Raw genomic sequence first — 19,863 nt, forward strand, 5'->3', positions numbered from 1 at the left:
CACTTTTTCTTCATGATTACCCTGAGTTAATTTGTATTGTCATCAATGTGGCATATTACGTAGATATTGATACAGGTACAGATACACACATACATATATGCATATGTAGGTATGTGCACTTATGCATGCATGCACACATATATATGCGTGCTAAAAAATATGGTTTTGGTTTGTGATTTTTAAATATCATGCATTGTATGTATGTGTTGGTTATTTAACAATGCATGTCTTTGTCATTTAGCCTAACATTTAGCATAGACCTGCTGCATCCTTTGGGCTCTCTGAGAGTATTGCTACAGCACACCTATGCCGGAAGATTATTTCATTGGCAGGTATTTTATTGCTTCTAAAAGTTCCATTTTACTGCAATGAACATCTTTTTACATAGGTGCCTTGGTGTGTGTGTCCTCAGCTAACATTTATCATGTGCCAGGGAAGATACATTTTATAACCATTATATAATTTTCAAACCGCCCTTTGAGGAGGTGGATAATCTGGATTCATATCCAGTCCATCGCTCTAGAGTGGGGATGCTACCCCCCTGCTAGGATGTCCATATTCATGAGTGAGTAGTTCACCAGGCATCATGCTTCTCTTTCTCTAAGTTTTCCAAATTTTCTGTCAAATATGCATCAATTATTCTGGGTCTAAATAACACACACCCATAAACAAGCATAAATGAACTTAATGCAAATGTGTGTGTGTGCAAGAATCCCTAAGTCGACCATGCTTAGAACAATTAAATGACAGCAAATTCAGGAGAGAGAAAATAGAAGAGCCCTATGGAGCCTAATTCTTAAAGATCATACATTCCACAATTGCTTTTCACCATTCTGAGGGGCTTGGGAAAATCCTAATCAGCTCATTTCACGGGCAAGAATGCCTGAAAAAAACCACCTCCATTGTTCTGAGACTTCTCTTTTTTTTTTCCTCTTTCCTAACTCTTCCCATTGCCCTGAGACTCCAGTGACATTTTTAATCACCCGTGAGATGGCCTCTCCATGCTGGCTTGCCTTTCTGCAAAATGTGGATCAAAACGATGGATAATTCAGATACATCATTTGTTAATAAATGTATTACTAGATCTAAAGGCAGATTTCCTTTTTATTTGGGTTGATGTGTTGGCAGTTAAACACTATATCTCACCAAGAACAAAATAATTATTTTTGCTTTTGACACAACCAGGATACATATTTCAATTTATTCACTTATGCAATCACTTTTACCATCAGCCCACTCAGCCAGAAAAACTCATAAAACACAGTTTGATTTTTCTTTTTTCAAATGGTGCAGGCGGCCAAGCTTCATGTCCTTAGTTACCTTATTTTATACTCTTGCACTCCAGCATGAGATGCTGAGCAGAGCCCTTCTTCGCCGGCCAGGAACCCTGGACTTTCTACCCTCCCCAGCCCCTACCTGTGCCTGGCATATGAATGTGTTTCTACTTTATGCCTTTGTTCTTCTGATTCCGACTAAATCCTGTAATAGATCTGAAGTGTGTGCCCCATTTGTCTGGGTACAATTATGAATTGATTTCCATTCCCAGAGTGAGGGTCCCTTCCCCTCTGGGTGCATATGTGAGTCTCACAATGCCCAGACCGCTTCACTCAATAAAGTGGTAAATTCACATCTGGCCTTGCAGTTGCCAGAAGAGACCATGAATTGGCTCAATTGGAAAGAAAATGTGGTGGACCCACTGGAAGATTGCCCTCTTCTCATCCCATGTTCAGCTGCAGAAATGTTAAGATTGTCTGATGTCTCTTTCTGAAGATGGGCACAGAAAGCTCCACTTTTCAAGATCCACGAGATGTCATTTGAGCTAGGATAGGCATTTTGTCTTTGGGATCCATTAATCTGCTTGTGCTTCTCCCATTAGCTGAAGATTCCCTGAAGCTCCTGAATATCATCCCTTGAGGTCAGCGAGATACATTTTCAATTTCCACCTGCAAATTAGACTAGGGCATACTTTTCTGGAAATATCGGAAAGAAAAAGATGTAAAACTCTGGTCGTAATTTTTTTTTCACACCAGAGATGGGGAAGGAATACTGTTTTAAAGACAAAAGCTCAGTGAATTTTGTAAAACTTAGGAAGGATAATTAAAGCCATATTTTGGAGCCTCACTGGATAGGAGAGAGAGATCACACTGCAGTAAAGATGCCCTGGGGCTGTTGAGACCAACAGCAAACTTTATTCTTTGACGTGTTGGAGTTGACTTCTGTTTCTCTCTTACCTCAACTCACTGTATCCCAAATCAATCAATAGATGAGTATTGCATACCTGATCCCTACTAGCACGTGCTAGATACTGCAGGGACCATAAGAAACATATCACATGCCAAACTTCCCTCTAGGAGCTCACAGTCTAACTAGGAGAATGACTGGTTAAGGTTTAGATTGTATTGAACTGTAAGTAATATACAACCTGAAAAAGTAGAGTAATGAACAAGTAAGAACACACACGAGACCTCAGGACTTAGACTGTTTAGGAATAGTATGATGATCCCTCATTGCCAACAGAAGCACATGCTTCTCCCAGTGTCCTGCTCTGCCAACTTACCCATGTGGCTTTATCTCCTCATAGTCACAAAATGACTGCTTCACCTCCTGTATCACACGCACACTCCAAAGTTAAAAAAGGGATGGACAAAGCAAAAAGACAGACCCAACTGAGATAATCATCTTACAGAGGCTTCCTAGAAGCTCTTCCCAGCAACTTCTGTTTACATCTCTAGGCTCAAAACGGTGACTCACGGCCTCCTCCAGCTGCAGATAGCCTAGTGGAAAATAGTGTTTTTCCTCAACATGAAAATAAAATCTAGGTTATTACGGAAGAAAGGTGAAACAGGTATGAGTGTGTTAAGGGTGCTTGTCGTAGGCAAAAAAATAAAGATGGAAAGGTAATTGTTAATGGAAGGAAGTAGGTAGGAAGGTGTTTGTGAGGATTCAGGAAGGCGGCTCTCAAGAATCCTCAGAGGGGAACTTGATCCCACAGGAATCTTGGTCCTCATTAGGATCATGAGCCAGACGATGATGGTAACAAATAGAGACTTCTGTTTCCCGGGAGACTGCCTGCCGTGAGTGTCTTACCTGGAGTAGCGGGAAATAGGTGTGAATGGGTGGCCTTCAGAAACTGGTAGTTCAATCACCGGTTGCAGGTCCTGGAAGAATGCAAAGCAAGAGGAGGGCTTTTTTAAGTAGCCCTTGTGATCTGGTTCTGTCCTCTCTTACAAAGCATGAAGGCCTTGTTCTCTCACACGTGGTTTCCCTCTGGCACCCCGTACATCGGTCTCTGCAGACCCTTCATTTTAGACGAGCTGTTCTGAATCCACACTACACATTAGAATAAAGTGCATAACCTAAAAAATACAAATGTGCAGGCTCCACCCCAGAGAAATTAAATCAGGATCTCTAGAGCGTGGGGAGAGGGAATATTTTTCAAATTACTAGATTTAATTTTAGAGCAGTTTTAGTTTTATAGAAAAATTGAGCTGAAAGTACAGAGAGTTCCCACATACCTCCTTTCCCCCAAATAAACAGCACTCCCCAGTGTCAACATCTTGGATCACTGCGGTACGATGGTTAAGTTGATGAGCTAATTCTAATATTGACACATTATTAACTAAACTCCGTAGCTTTCATTAGGGTTCACTGTTTGTGTTGTCATGTTCTACAGGTTTTGACAAACGCATTCACCAGTTCAAGAGTTTTCAGAAAGTCCCATATCCACCATTTCAGTATGAAACAGAATAATCTCATGTACCAAAAGTCCTCTGTGTTCTACCTATTCATCCCTCCCTCTCCCCTAATTCCTGGTAACCACTGGCCTTTTTTTTTATTTCCATAGTTTTGCCTTTCCTAGAATATGACATAGTTAGAATAATTAGGTATATAGTTATAGCTAAAATCGGTATATTTTGAAGGTCTCCAGGAAATTCTAATATGCAGCAGCATTGAAAACCACTAGGCTATAATATAGAATGATGTTCTAGTAATGTATCTGAACGATTTTTTTAACTTACTCAAAGTGCAATCCCCCCATTTCACAGATAAAATGTATGTTCTGAAAGAGGAAGTGACTTGACCATGGCCATGTGTGAATATGAAGACTGTAAGTGTATCACATTGTTGTTCTGAGATAAACTGGTTAATGCAAATTAAAGTGTTTTCTCTCGTAGGGTTGTCTTTCTTCTAACATCCATGCATTGCACAGATGTTTATTGAGAATCATTTCTGAGTCAAGCAGCAACCCTGGTGCAGTAGCTACAACCGTATATCTGAAACCACTGCTGAACCCACAGGCCTCGGGTTCGTGGAGGTTATGGACAAGTGAACAGCTGTGTAAAGTAGCGCGGTGATATAATGGCCATCCCTGAATACTGCTCTAGGTCCTTTACCATTAACTCCTTTAATCCTCACAAGAGCCCCTTGATGTAGGTATCATTATAACCTCATTTTACAGATGAGGTTACAGAAACTGAGGCACATAAAAAGAAAGTGCTTTGTCTAGGGTTATATAAAATATAGATGGCAGAGCCAACATTTAAACACAGGAGGGACTGCCCCATGCATTAGACTGTTTACTGAGAATTTTTCCTGTGTTCTGCAGTATTTTACACTTTCATTACTGTGGCCATGGGGTTCTGAAAGTCTCCTTCTCTGTAAACAACCCTGTGACACATGATTCTGGAGGTGACTGTTGAAGCAGAACACATTCCATATGGCGTTTTGACGTGGAAGCTGACTGTGTTCACCTGGCAAGCGTACAAATGTCTCCAAAATCCCATTCCTTAGAACAAAAGGTTTGAACATCGTTGCATTCAATTGTCTCTACAGAATGAATAATACCAACTGCCATGGTTTCAGAGTCAGGTGCTTAAGAATTACTTCACTTGTGGGAGCTTATCTGCGGCTCTGTATTTACTGTGATTGAATAGTTTCACATTGATGAGGGAAATGGCTCTCTTAACTAGGTCATCTCTTACTGGCATTTACAAGTTTTAAATTTAAAATCCAACCATACGTCATTGCATTGCAAACAACACCTGGAATACCAGTTACTATTAGTAATATTATTACTAATACAATTAGTAATAATATTACTAATACAATTAGTAATAACTAGTATACTGTTAGTATGTTGTTACTAAAAACATACATAAAAACGGTATGTTTCTTTTCATTGACTTTGATAAATAAAGTGGTTAAAAAAAACAAACAAACAATCTTAAGCATGAAACATTGGTATGCCAACCACCCATAAGAAGCCACTCAAGAGCTTAACAAATTAGAAGAATCCAAAAGTATCTATAAATGCCCTAGGGACGATACTACCAAAAGTAGGATATCACAAATGCCATGAACAGGAGCATTAAAGAAACTCTTATGCATCACTTAACAGAGATGCCAGCTCACGATCTGCTACTCGTGAATTTCCTATCCATAATCTTTTAGTAGAAGATGCTACCAAAGAGGTTGGTAATGCAAGCACAACCCCAGAGTCGAGTCTCTTTGCCCCCTTTCGGGTTCCATGATGAATGCAGAGGCAATTACCATGGGAAGGGAAACGCAATGCATTGATTGGCGGAGCTTTGGACTCCTAACCAGAGCTATTGCCGGAAGCTCAGGGCCTCTGCTAACAGCAGAGTGTCAAAGTGGAGAACAGGTGTTGTCCCAGGAAATCGGTGTTCCATTACCTGGACAAGGGAGAGGGGGTGGATATGGGTCAAGAACAGCCAAGGATGTTCCTTGAGATGTGCATTTACTTGCCTGCTCCAGGGCACCATGCTAACTGTGCTAAAAACTTGGTAATGTCATTGTGGCCGGTCCTGTTATTTAAGATGAGGTCCTTCTTGGATGATGATGATGATGATGATAATGATGATGATTAAACAGCTATCACTTATTGAGTGCTTATTAAATTTCAGGCATGATACTAAATTGCATTTGTCACTCAACTTTGGACAATGACCCTGTAAAATACGCACTATTATTATTATTGTTAATATATCACATTTACAGAGGAGGGAAATAAGCATCTGTCTAAGTCACTGGGTGTGTTCTTTTTGTTGTTGTTGTTGTTGTTGTTGAGACAGAGTTTTGCTCTTGTTGCCCAGGCTGGAGTGCAATGGTGTGATCTCGGCTCACTGCAACCTCTGCCTCCCGGGTTCAAGCAATTCTTCTGCCTCAGCCTCCTGAGTTGCTGGGACTACAGGCATGTGCCACCACACCCGGTTAATTTTGTATTTTTAGTAGAGACGGGGTTCTCCATGTTGGCCAGGCTGGTCTCGAACTCCCAACCTCACGTGATCCACCTGCCTCAGCCTCCCAAAGTGTGGGGATTACAGGCGTGAGCCACTGTGCCCAGCTACTGTGTGTGTTCTTAACCATGCTCTATCTCCCTCAGCCCCACAGTTAACATCTAGTTGCTAGTAGATCCTGACTCTCCATCCTACTTGACCATACTCTCACTCATGGCAGTCCACAATGATAAGTAAAAATAAAATAATACAATACAATACAATACAATACAATAAATCTACCACAACCAAAAACAATAAAAGGCTAAATCTTGAGGACTGAGTAAAAATTTGACTGCAAACAGGCAACCTGACTCAGTACATCTTTTTAAGAGGCTTTTGATAAAGGGGCTGAGATAAGGAGAAATGCAGTGGATCTTTTAAAGCCAAAAATATCGTTGAACTGCATCTCTCCTACGGTAGGAAAGCGACATTCCTGAGTCGGGTTTCTTGCATGGCGACCTCCTCATCTCAACTTCGTGTAAGCCCTGGACTATTTGGAGACAATCTTCTATGTATGTAGGGTCCCCGTGTCCAGATTTGGCATCTAGCTGCCTTGTGAAGAACCTGAGTTGGGCTTTTATCTCTTGGTCATTTTTTAAATTTTAACTTAATATTTATTTATTTTTTTTTTTGAGACGGTGTCTCACTCTGTCACCCAGGCTGGAGTGCAGTGGCCCCCGATCTTGGCTCACCGCAACCTCTGCCTCCCAGGCTCAAGCGATTCTCCTGCCTCAGCCTCCCAAGTAGCTGCAATTACAGGTGCCTACCAGCAGGCCCCGCTACTTTTTTTGTATTTTTAGTAGAGATGGGGTTTCACCATGTTGGCCAGGCTGGTCTTGATGCCCTGACCTCAAGTGATCCCCCTGCCTCAGCCTCCCAAAGTGCTGGGATTACAAGCGTGAGCCGGTACGCCCAGCCTAATTTTATTTTTTAATTGACAAATAATAATTGTACATATTCATGGGGTACATGGTGGTGTTTCAATAGATAGAATGGATAATGATCGGATCAGAGTAATTAGCATGTTCATCACCTAAAGTATTTATCGTTTCTTTGTGTTGGAAACATTTAATATACTCCTTCTAGCTATTGGAACTAATAATATGTTATTGTTAACTGCAGTCATCCTACAGTGTCACAGAACACTAGAACTTGTTTATTCCTCTACCTAGCTGTAATTTGCTATCTTTTAACAAATCCCTCCCTTTCTTCAACCTCTCCCAGCCTCTAGTATCCTGTCTTCTATGTTTTACTTCTGTGAGATCAACATTTTCAGGCTTCTGCACATGAGTGAATAAAAAACACGAGTTTTTAATTTTCTGTGTTTGCACAGGTGCCTGAAGATGGGATGGCCAGGTCAGAATTTGTCAACAGACAATGAAAAATGTCCATGGACTGGTTGTGATTCTCTCTAGCTCAATATTTGGCTGATACACACAGAAATCAAGAAAGACTTAAAATAACTATCACCATTATTTTCTTTTCCTCCCTGGTGAGGAATTCTTCTGGACCCTTCTTTGCTCTTTTAAACTCTCCCAGTGGCTCAGGATCATATCATGGGTAAACACATGAGTTCCTGATTGAGTCTGGACAGACCCACTTCTCTTTGCTTAATAAATATATGAATCCATTGTTACAAAGCTCCACGGTACTAAGGAGATCCCTCTCTGGGTCTGGGCTTTCAGACACACCCTCGACCACACAGGGTGGGATTTCTTGTTGCTGTTGAAGTCAACATCGCAGCACTAGTGATAGAAATGGCACATTTAACCTCCTGACCCTGGGGGGAGGAGATGCCCAATTTATTAATATATTAGAGTATCCCGTGAGTGGGGCAGTCACACAGGGACCTAAGCCTCTGAATTCAAGCCCCAGGCAACCTGTCCCTGCTGTATGTCCCCTGGTTCCTCTCTCAACTTCACTCTTTGTGGTTGCATTTTCCAACAGGGCACCTGCACCAAATAAATATGCATATATTTAGCATCCATATTTCAGGAAGTCTCATCCTCACCTGTTTTTGGAGAGAAATATGCTGGGGACACACATGGTACTTGTAGAGTGGGAAAAGGGGTGCTGTGCAGATGGGGGATGCTGTGCTCTGGGGTTTATGAGTCTCTGTGACAAACCGTACACATTATCACAGGGTGTATCTTCAAGAAGCCTCCCTGGGCAGGATGTTTAACCTTTCTAAATGTCATTATTCTCATCTACAAATCGGAGATTAATATGAGTGGTCTCGTAGGTTGAGAGGAGAGGGAATTCCTTGGGGGAGGGCTGGAAGCCCTACTCCCAGAAGGAGCATGGTAATGAGTCCAACAGGAGGTAGGGGGTAAGAGGCAGAGGCCAGCAGACTTGGAGGTGGAGGGTTCTGTGATAGCTTAGCAACTGCTGTTCCAGTTTCTATGCACAGCTTAGGAGCCCCATGTTTGGGGAGACAAGGTCTCCAGAGAACTGACTGGGGAGTGGAGGTGTCTCTGCAATCCAAGAGGTTCCTTCCTCCACAGAAGCAGGGCAAACACACATCCAGGGGCACAGGCTGTGTTTTTGCCAGAAAGAACGAGGAGAAGCAGCAGCTTGCCACACCGGGCCCACGGCTCCAGGTCTGCCTCCAAGATGGGGATGTGTCCAGATCCACCATATGCCATGGCTTAGAGGAGAGGTGGTGAGAGATCCAGAAACTCCCAATCCTTCTATCTTTAGCTTTATGATGCAGCAGGACCCAGGGTGGGACTCTGAGTCATTTTCTTGGCACAGACTCGCAGTGAATTAAAGACACCTCACTCCAAATTCAAACAAGATGCAGCAAGAATGAAAGAGAAAAACAAATCCTAAAGCTGTCAATGTCACCGTCTCTTTGATGGCTCCATCTTGAAGCTGTCAAAGGAATTCCCAGGCCCCTTTGGACATAATTCTAGGTGGTGGAATATGGGGAGGGTCACCCCCAGAGATGCCAGGCAGAGCAGAGGCTGGTGGACCGTGCACAGCCAGAAGCCCTCACAACACAGCAACCCTCAAGCCCAGCACATATCACCCAGCAGTTTGTGGGCAAAACCTCAGGCAAATCTCAGTCACAAGAACAACCTCTTTCAGTCACAAGAATAATCTCTGTCCAGTAATACACAGTGTCATACCAAGTCACATCAGAACTCTGAAATGTATGCAAGTTAACGGTACCACCCTACCCCAGCTGGGGCTGCTTCTGGCTGAGAACCTGCAGTGAAGTTTACAAAGGCAAGTGGGGACGGCTCCTTCTCTCTGGTTTCATTCCCCGCCCCCGCCCCCCTCCCCCGCTCCAGTCACTTCTGATTATGGCCCCAGAGTGAGACAAAGAAGTACAGGAGTGGAAAATATCTGCCCTGACAGACACAATCAGGAACTGACACCAATGTCCCCTAGATGGAGCAGATACCCAAGTCTGACTCTTCCTCCCATGGCATCATTATCTGAGTTTTGTGGGGCCCGTGGCATGGACGTAGCCTGCATTAGCTTGATCCAAGTGACATCTTTTCCTGATGGCCGTGAACAGCTCTCCCGTTCATGCCTTGGCTTCAGGCAGTCCACTTCCTCCAGGCAGTTCCCTTTATAGGTTCCCTTTGAAGACCACCTTCGACCTGGCTTTCTTGTACCATCCCAAGAAAACAGACAGCTCTTTTCCCCTTTGTTGGTAAAAGCACAGAGTCTCCCAATGCGTCCCTCTCTGTCTGTGTTCTGTCCCAGTCAGGCAGTTCTGACCCCAGCCTTTGACATTCAGAATTCGCCTGGTTGGACTCAGATCCGAGTTCTTACGTCTACTCCATGCCAGAGGTCACAAGTCAAACTCTCCATGTGATTTCTCTGAAGCTCAAATTTATCCAAGTCAGTGGCTCGATCCTGCCCCATCTCAGGTCTGCACTGGGCTTAGAAATTGTAGTGAAGAAAAGAAACGCAACTAACTGACTCTCTTTTGCTTCACCTCTTCTCCAGTCGCTAGTTACTAATTACCTCCTTCCTAACGGTTACATTAAAGCTACGTTCACTGGCTTAGGAGGTGAGAGATGCCAGCACACCAATAACTTCCCTCCAAGTCATCTCAGCACCTCTGATCTTGGCAGGAGCAGGTGATCCGCTGCTGCTGGAGGATCCATGTTCAGTCTTTAGCATGTCCTTCCTGTGTGTTTTCTCAGCCTCTGGGGGAACACCTGGTACCTATTTCATGATTCTCATCTCCTGGTTATTAGAAAAATGTATGGGTTTTAATAGATGTTACGTTTAATATCTCCACTCCAATTTTTTTTTCAAATTTTAGATTTGGGGATACAAGTGCAGTTTGTTACATGGACATGTTATGGTGGTGAAGTCTTGGCCGTTAGTGCAGCCATCACCCAAAAGGTGTACATTGTACCCGGTAATTAATGTTTCCTCTCTCACCCCCTCCACCTTCTCGCCCTTCCAGTCTCCAGTGTGTTATTCCACACTCGTTGTTCATGTGTACACATTATTTAGCTCCCACTTATAAATTAGAACATGCAGCATTTGACTTCCTATTTCTGAGTTATTTAAGATAATGGTCTCTAGTTCCATCTGTGTTGCTGTAAAAGACATTATTCCATTCTTTTTTTATGCCTGAGTAGTATCCATGGTGTGTCTGCGTATGTATGGGTGCGTGTGTGTGCATGTGCGTGCGCGTGCGTGTGTGCGTGTGTGTGCGCGTGGGTGCATGTGTGTGCGTGTGCATGTGTGCGTGTGTGCGCGTGTGCGTGTGTGCGCATGTGTGTGCATGCGCGTGTGTGTGTGTGTATACATCTGCACATTTTCTTTACCCAATCGTCCACTGATGGACAATTTAGTCGATTCCATATCTTTGCCATTGTGAACAGTGTTGTGATAAATATACCAGTACAGGTATCTTTTTGGCCTAAAGATTTTTCTTTTGGGTAGATACCCAGTAGTGGGATTGCTGAATTGAACGGTCATTCCATTTTTTGTTCTTTGGGAAATCTCCATACTATTTTCCACAGAGGCTGAATGACTTTACATTCCCACCAACGGTGTCTAAGGGCTCCCTTTTCTCTGCATTCTCACCAACATCTGTTATATTTTGATTTTTTTTTTTTTTTTGTGAGATGGAGTCTCGCTCTTTCTCCAGGCTGGAGTGCAGTGGTGCGACCTCGGCTCACTGCAACCTCTGCCCTCTGGACTCAAGCGATTCCCCTGCCTCAGTCTCCCGAGTAGCTGGGACTATAGGTGTTCGCCACCATGTCTGGCTAAATTTTTTTTTTTGTATTTTTAGTAGAGAAGGGGTTTCACCATGTTGGCCAGGATGGTCTTGAACTCCTGACCTTGTGATCCGCCCGCCTTGGCCTCCCAAAGTGCTGGGATTACAGGCGTGAGCCACTGCACCCGGCCATATTTTGATTTTTTTTAGTAATAGCCACTCTGACTGGCATAAGATTATATCTCCCTGTGGTATTGATTTGCTACATTGACTCACGTCTCTCTTTTCACCGATCTTTGATGTCCTTTCTGTCCTCACTGTTCATGTGACACGTGTCTGCCGTGTCACATCCTGTCTTATCTTTTATAGTTTAAGAGCTTAACACTAATGAGTCTATGAATATTTTTAGAAAAATATCTGCCAGCCAGTAGATATAGGAACCACACCATGTGTCGGACACCGAGACTTTCAGTGGGGATACAGCAGTGTCCAGACACATATGGTGTCAGCTCTTGAGAAGTTTGCAGGCTTCACGTGGTTTCTGAGAACACAGAAGGAACTCAATAGATGTGACTGGTGATTAGTGGGTTATAGGAAAGGAAAATTGGATTGCGATTAGTGAGGGGGAACTCTCAAGACTCTGGCTGTGATGGGCCAGGCATGATGTGAGATGCTCCTCCAGACCTTCCATGAAACACCGGTTTATTTGTGCTGCAAGTACCTCTGACTTTTTCCAGTGCTGTAGCTTGATGGTTCAGTGACATCTATCTTTCCTTTGCCTAGTGTACAGTGGCTTTTACACAAAGCTTCCTTCCACTAAGTGACTTTGTCAATCTCCTTTGTTTAATTCATTGGCATTCCATCTCTTTATGGCAGAGTTTCATCAGGTAGAGGAGGGTAACTCTCTATTCTTGGTAATAATATCTGCCACCTGAAAAAAACACTAAAGAATACACAGAATAGCCATATCTTTACCAAGACGTGCCTACATATATTTTGATCATGAGTAAGGCACTAGAATGTCACAGGAGCGTCCTCTTCTTAGAGACTATGGTATGATGGCCCTAGGAACAGACGATCACATGTGTAGATTCAATATGATATGTTTGTAATGTCAATTCTGTTCTTCAAACTCCCTTCAGATCCTAGTAAGCTCTCAATATCATCTCAAAACCCTGGGGTTAAAATACTGGTCCTTGCTTTGGACACTGCGTGGTGACTGACTCAGCCAGCGTAAAATCCCTCAGCTCATCATCCCTTGCCATCAAGACTCCAGCAGCTACAGAGCAGGGACCCTCCGCAAAGCTAATGACAGCTCCATCTCTGAACCTACTGGCAAAAGAAGGGATTGGGAGACCATGGAGATGGGCCCAGGTTAGTCCAGCCATAGAGGGGGACAGCTTCCTGAGAAGGCGGCTTCTGCAGGCAGTTGTGTCCAGTTCTCGCTCTGTCATTCCCTTCCTGGGAGATGTTCAGGCCTGAAGGGCATCTCCAGGTGGACCAGTGGGCCACTCTGTTCCTGTCAGAGAAGTCCCTTACATCTTCCCCTGCTGCTCAGACCCTCCTTGCACTGCTGATCCCAAGGCATCCGTGGCCTCCACGCCAGTCTGAGGATCTCCTTCTCTGCCATGTGCTCACTCAGGGTCCCTTTCAGAGGAATGAGAAGACGGAAACCCTCTAGTTACAGAAAGTCCCTCTGGAAAACAGGTCCATTCCTATCACTCCTCTTTAAGTGTCTCTCAATGTCGACATCAAACTGTAGCCTGTCTCCATATCTTAAAACCATCTAATTAAAAAACATAATATATGGCCATTTTAGTTCATGTTTGGCATTATGTTATGATTTCTGATAGATTGTGGTTGACAACATTCAAAAATTAAAGGGAGTGATAAAACTAATGGATACCTCTTTTATTCAGTATTACTTTTCTTTGGTGAAAGTTCTCCACGGACCATGAGCTAATAATGAGACCAGCTCAGGTATCTACCTTTAAGCACTTGCATATTTTTTCTGTTGTCTGAGAGGTACCAACAGTCTGTGCTTGTAATTACTCTGTACATTCGACAGAGCATTAATGATCACATTTGAGAATAGCTGCCCCACTCCAAAAGTATCCTATAATATGGCTGTATAAAACAAAAAGTAGAAACAAAACATAAAAAGCAGACATATTACTCTTCATGAGTTCAGGCTGACATTCATTTTTCCAGCTCTTATTAGTGAAATAAAATGACAACAACAGCAAAGTAAACACATGCCAATATTCTTTATTCCAAAGCACAGACTGTCAGCATGTGTGAGCATGTGTGAGCATCTTTCAGACTTGCATAGCCAGAGTATCATTATCTTCTACTTCACACATTAGAAACAGTGGAAATGTTGAGCTAAAGAAATGTGATATTTACACTTTGATAGTGTGTATCTTTCTCCAATATGGGTTATCATACTCCTGGGAAATTCACTTGGATTGGTCTCTAGGAGCAAAGATGTGTGACCTTAAATCTGATTGTCTCAGAATATACTGTCCTGGACCCAGTCACCCGTGAAGGAGAGAGTCTTTAAAGACACAGTGAGCTCTATTGTATCCAATGGGGTAACTGTGCATAGGGGGATTTTAGGAAGTAGTGCCCCAAATTGCCTTTCCTGATAATGTGGATTCCTCATGGGCTGGTAAATGCCCCCACATACAGTGAGCTTTAAATGACTGGAAAAGTGCAATTAGAACTTTGTTTCACAGAGTAGGGTAATTTTGACAGATGAATCTCTGACTCATGAGAAAGAAGTAAAACTGAATGTCAAGAAGATGTAGAATACGATAGACACTTAGCCTTAAGGCAACTTAAAATATCGAAAGCCAGAAAGAGCTTTTCTGCCCAACCGAACAATAGGAATAAGATGGATAATCTATTACATTACAACTTATATTGAACCTCTCAGTTCAAAAGGAACCGATTAGATGCAAATTTAAGGGATACAACACCAGTCAGAACAAACTGAGGTCCACAAAAAGAAATAACTGTAAAAATTGTTAAAATGGAACCGAATATCAATGACTTTTTTGACCATTCTAAAAGATAATTGTCTGAAGAAAGGCCAGCGTCATACTGTGTGCATGTATAATGCATGTACATTTTCATATGTGCATATGTACAATATGCATATGTATATGATATATATGGCATATGCGCAATAGCATACATTTAGATCATATGTAAAACTAAGCCGTATGACAGTTCACAAAAGACGAGGGAAAATAATTGGGAGTATACTGTTCAAGATTCTTGCAATGCATGAATCAGATAATAGTGATATAATATTATCTGACGTTTGAATTTGATTATTTAAAGATGTATATTGCAAAGCCAGACAAAATATAAAAATTATAAATAAGTTAATATTGAAGATAAAAATGATTTGTAAAATTATACAGTTAATTGGAAGCATGCAGAAGAGAGGAAAAAGAGAGAACAGGTAAGAAAATAGAAGACAACTAAAATGGTAGACTTAAATTCAAGGATATCAATTATTAATACATTAAATGCAAATAGTCTAGGGTCTAGACTTCCAATTAAAAGACAGATTGCCAGATTGAATAGAAGACAAGAATCAACTATATGCTGCTGTGAGTATCAAAATAAACAAATGGGCCTGGTGTGATAATTCATGCTTGTAATCCCATAATCCCAGCACTTTGGGATGCCAAGGCAGGCAGATAACTTGAGGCCAGGAGTTTGAGACCAGCCTGACCAACATGGGGAAACCCCATCTCTATCAAAAATTCAAAAATTGGCTGGGTGTGGTGGCACAGGCCTGTAGTTCCAGCTACTTGGGAGGCTAAGGCAAGAGAATCACTTGAACATGGGAGGCAGAGGCTGCAGTGAGCCGAGGTCATGTCACTGCAGCCCAGCCTGGGTAACAGAGTGAGACTCCATCTCAAAAAAAAAATCCCCCCAAAATAAACCTATGCCATGTGAACACTAATCAAAAGAAAGCTGACTGACTGTGATAAACGTAGGCTTCAGAAGAAGGAATGTGTCAGGAATAAAGAAGGAAATTATATAATGATAACAGGATAAATTCTTCAAAAGACCAAACATCCTCAATGTGCATGTATCTATCAACAGAGTTGCAAAACATATGAAGCAAAACCAGCAAGAAATGATAAGAGGAACAGACAAATTCACAATTGCCATGGGAGATGTAGCACTCCACTTTTGTTAATAACATCACAGAGGCCAGGCGCGGTGGCCCACACCTGTCATCCCAGCACTTTGGGAGGCCAAGGCAGGTGGATCACTTGAGCTCAGGAGTTCCAGACCAGCCTGGCCAACACGGTGAAACCCTGTCTCTACAAAAAAATATAAAGATTAGCCGAGCAAGGTGGCACACACCTGTAATCCCAGCACTTTGGGAGGCTGAGGCAGGTGGGTCACATGAGCTCAGCAGGTCAAGACCAGCCTGGCCAACATGGTGAAACCCCATCTCCACAAAAAAAAAAAAGAAAAAGAAAAATTAGCCTGGCAAGGTGGTGCACACCTGTAATCCTAACTACTGAGGAAGTTGAGGTGGAAGGATGGCTTGAGCCAGGGAGGCAAAGGCTGCAGTGAACCAAGATAGTACCACTGCACACCAGCCTGGGTGACAGAGTGAGACCTTGTCTCAAAAAAAAAAAAAATAAAATAAAATAAAAATAAGAAAAATTTAAAAATTTAAAAGACCCAACAGCTCAAGGAGGAAAAAAAAATTAGTGTGCATATAGTAGACCTTAAAAAAAGCTATCAGTCCACCAGTGCCAATTGTTATTCATAAAATACCTAATAGAAGAGCACACACATTTTCTTTAGTATACTTAGAACATTCACCAAGATAGTTTATCTTCTATTTCATAAACCAACCTTAATAAATTAAAGAAATATAAAGCAAAGTGTGTTCTTGAACCACTATAGAATTGAATGAGAATCAACAACGGCAAAATACATAAGCAATACTTAAATATTTGGAAATTTAAGGACACACTAAGAAATTTATCCATGGAGCAAATATTAACTCATAGGAGAAACCAGAGAAATTATAAAACTTGTTTTGATCACGAGGTGAGGAGATCGAGACCATCCATCCTGACTAATATGGTGAAACCCCGTCTCTACTAAAAATACAAAAAAATTAGCCCCGCGTGATCGCGGGCGCCTGTAGTCCTAGCTACTCGGGAGGCACGGGCAGGAGAATGGCGTGAACCTGGGAGGTGGAGCTTGCAGTGAGCCGAGATCGTGCCACTGCACTCCAGTCTGGGCGACAGAGCAAGACGCCGTCTCAAAAAAAAAAAAAAGAAAAAAAAAATATTTTGGGTGAAGTGAACACCATGAGTAACTACATTAGAATGATGCTCTGATATTTAATCCTACTCCACCATCTGACCCCAGGACAAAGGAGACAGAAATCTAAGAAACTGGAACATAATCTGGAAGGATACTTTAATATTTGGCTGGAGACCACATATACTCACAAAGGATGAAAGCCTAAATCAATAACAGTCTTCATACCTGTGGCCCAGAGAGGACAAATATGGTAGGTGGTGAATGTGGAATATCTTAGTGATGGGTGTTGTTCTATATTTTTGTTTGCACTCATATGTCCTGATACTGGTTCTTAATGGTAGTTAAACTCTATATGTGAGCTGGACAGAATTATTATAGGCTTTCCACACCTAACAAAGTTGTACTATTGAAGCCATTTTGCAACTCAGACTAGAGAGTTATGTGTAATATTAATGTTACAAAAATGCACATAAACTATTGAAATTATTTAAAAATTAATAAAGTACCTACAGAACCCAGATTCCTGTTGCTAAGTGAATTTGTGAAGTCTGGTCACATTTGGGAACATTTTTCAATTACTGGTGTTCTTAGTTATAGCCCAAGACATCTCTTAAATTATAATCCTTCAGAAAAGAAATGCAAACACAAGTACAACTCATAATAATTTATCACTGCTACAGATAATTGGGGAATTAGTCTTTATCAGTCAGTCCTTGTTTCCATACTCTTACAGAAAACCTTCTCTGAGTCCTACAAACTGAGCTAGCAATCTATCTTCAGTGAAGTTCCAATCACTACACTTGCTTCATTGTATTATGCTGATCTATATTAGAGTATGGACTTCTTACTAGATTTTAAGCTCTTTGTGTGCAAGACAATGATGAATATCAATACAGTTTTGCAGAACAAATAAATAAATGTGTATCAAGGATTGTGACTCACCAGCTCCACCTGTATTCTCCAAGGTCTTGCTTGAATTTCAAGTAGAGAGAGAAGAGGTAGACCACATTCTTCCCTTCCATTTCCTTCCAGTTGATTAACTTTCCCTGTCACCTACAGCTTTGCCAAATATGATCTACTTCAGTCAACGTAATCTTGAAACTTCTGAATTTCAAAAACTGAAGAGTTGTAGAAGATATGGCTTCATCTCTCTTGGTGCACATCCACACATGGCACACAACTAGAATCAATTCAAGTTTGTTCTATGAGATATTCTCCAAGTAGAAATAGGTTAGTGCATTCTTTCCTAAAATATTAATATCCAAAAAATGGCACAACTTCTCAAAAGACCTGGTCTTTACCTAAACAGGTTTTATGTGACATGAATCTATTCTTTTTCTCTTTTAATGACCATAATCAAGGCAAAAGTCTTTACCCTCTTTTTCTCAGAATTAGAAATCCAAAGAACACCATACTTATGAAAACACACTTTGATAATTTTTTAGAGATCAAGGTAAAGATTGCAAGTCCTTCCACTTTCCTTCTATGCTCTTCTCCTCCAGAAATAGCACTTTTATGTTCATTTATCTGCTTCCTGCTTTTTTCTCTTCACTCTTAGACTCTCTTCATGTCTAAGAACTAGGCTGAACCCTTGATTTGCTACTCTCCTGGTATAGGGACTTGGAAAACATATTTTTCTCATTGGACTTCAGTTATGTCATCCAAAAATATGAGGATTCAAGCTGTTATCAAATAATTGTTTTAAGAAAAAAATCACCAAAGAGATGTAAAATATTTAACCTAGCATTCAGTAATGGTTATCTATTATATTATATTATATTAATTCTTTAAAATTTTATTTTTAAAAATCACTTTTTTTGAGGAGGAGTATGCATACGGTAAAGCACACAAATCTTAAGAGAACAGTTCAATTAATTATTACACATTTACCTGCCCGCCTGGTCACCACACAAATCCTGATATAGAACACACCTAAAAGTAATTGCCTCCTTAAAATTTGTATTCTGGTCCAAAATTTGCTTCACTCTAATTCCAAACATAATCTGATATTTGTTACCATAATGTCTTGGTTATTATAGCTTTCTAGAAATCTTTGAGGTCAGATTGTACATGTTCTTTAACTTCATCCTCAAAATTATGTTGGTTCTTATAGTTCCTGCTTCTTTCCCCATAAATATTAGAATCACTTTATCCATTTCTATAATAATTTCCACATGGATATTTGTTGAAATTGCATTTAAACTATATGTTATTAGAGACAGTTCACATCTTAAGAATATTGTCTTTCAATCCATGAACATGGTACATCTTTCCATTTATTTAGGTCTTAAATTTTTTTCATCAGTGTTTTGTCATTTTCTGCATACAGCTCTTACTCATATTTTGTTATATTTGGCTATTTGGTGTTTTTTAAATGGTATTTTTTTTCATTTAAATTCCCAAATGTCCATTGTTAATATATAGAAATGCAATTGTTTATTGTAAACTGAAACTGTATTCTGCAGTCTTATTAAACTCACATTTTAATTCTAGTAGCTCTTTTGTAGAATTTTTGGATTTCTCTAGGAAGACTGCCATGTCATCTGCAAATAGCAATAACTTTATTTCTTATTTTATGTTCTGTATGTCTTTTATTGTTTATTCTTTACTTATTATGCTGACCAAGATCTTCAATATGAGGTTAGGTAAAAAAGGTGAGAGAAAATATTATTTTCATGTTCCTTATCTGAGGGGATGAAAATTTAACCTTTTGTCATTAAAGGCGATGCTAATTGGACATATTTTTGATGTAAGAGATTTTCTTTCTGTTCTTAATTGATTACAATTTTTATCATAAATGAGGTAATGATTTTTCTCAAATGCTTTTGCTGCATTTATTATAATGGTTGTATGCTTTTTCTTCTTTAGTCTGTGTGATGGTTAATATTGAGTGTCAACTTGATTGGACTGAAGGATACAAAGTATTGATTGGCAACACCTATAAGGCTGTTGCCAAAGCAGATTAACATTTGAGTCAGTGGGCTGGGCAAGGCAGACCCACCCTTAATCTGGGTGGGCACAATCTAATCAGCTGCTGGCACAGCTAGAATATAA

The 19,863-nt window shown here is 41.0% G+C and overlaps 1 long non-coding RNA gene across 1 annotated transcript; it reads right to left on the reverse strand.

Annotated features, from left to right (window-relative positions):
- Positions 1-1,182: 1,182 nt before the first annotated feature.
- LOC124903052 (uncharacterized) lies at positions 1,183-17,989 on the reverse strand. The gene is made up of 2 exons (XR_007063525.1): positions 17,752-17,989; positions 1,183-3,158 (listed from the first exon to the last, which is right to left on the reverse strand). It is a non-coding gene; the product is annotated as an uncharacterized LOC124903052 (long non-coding RNA).
- Between the last annotated feature and the right edge of the window lie 1,874 nt (positions 17,990-19,863).

This window comes from Homo sapiens, chromosome 12, assembly GCF_000001405.40.
Source record: "Homo sapiens chromosome 12, GRCh38.p14 Primary Assembly".
Lineage (NCBI taxonomy): Eukaryota > Metazoa > Chordata > Mammalia > Primates > Hominidae > Homo > Homo sapiens.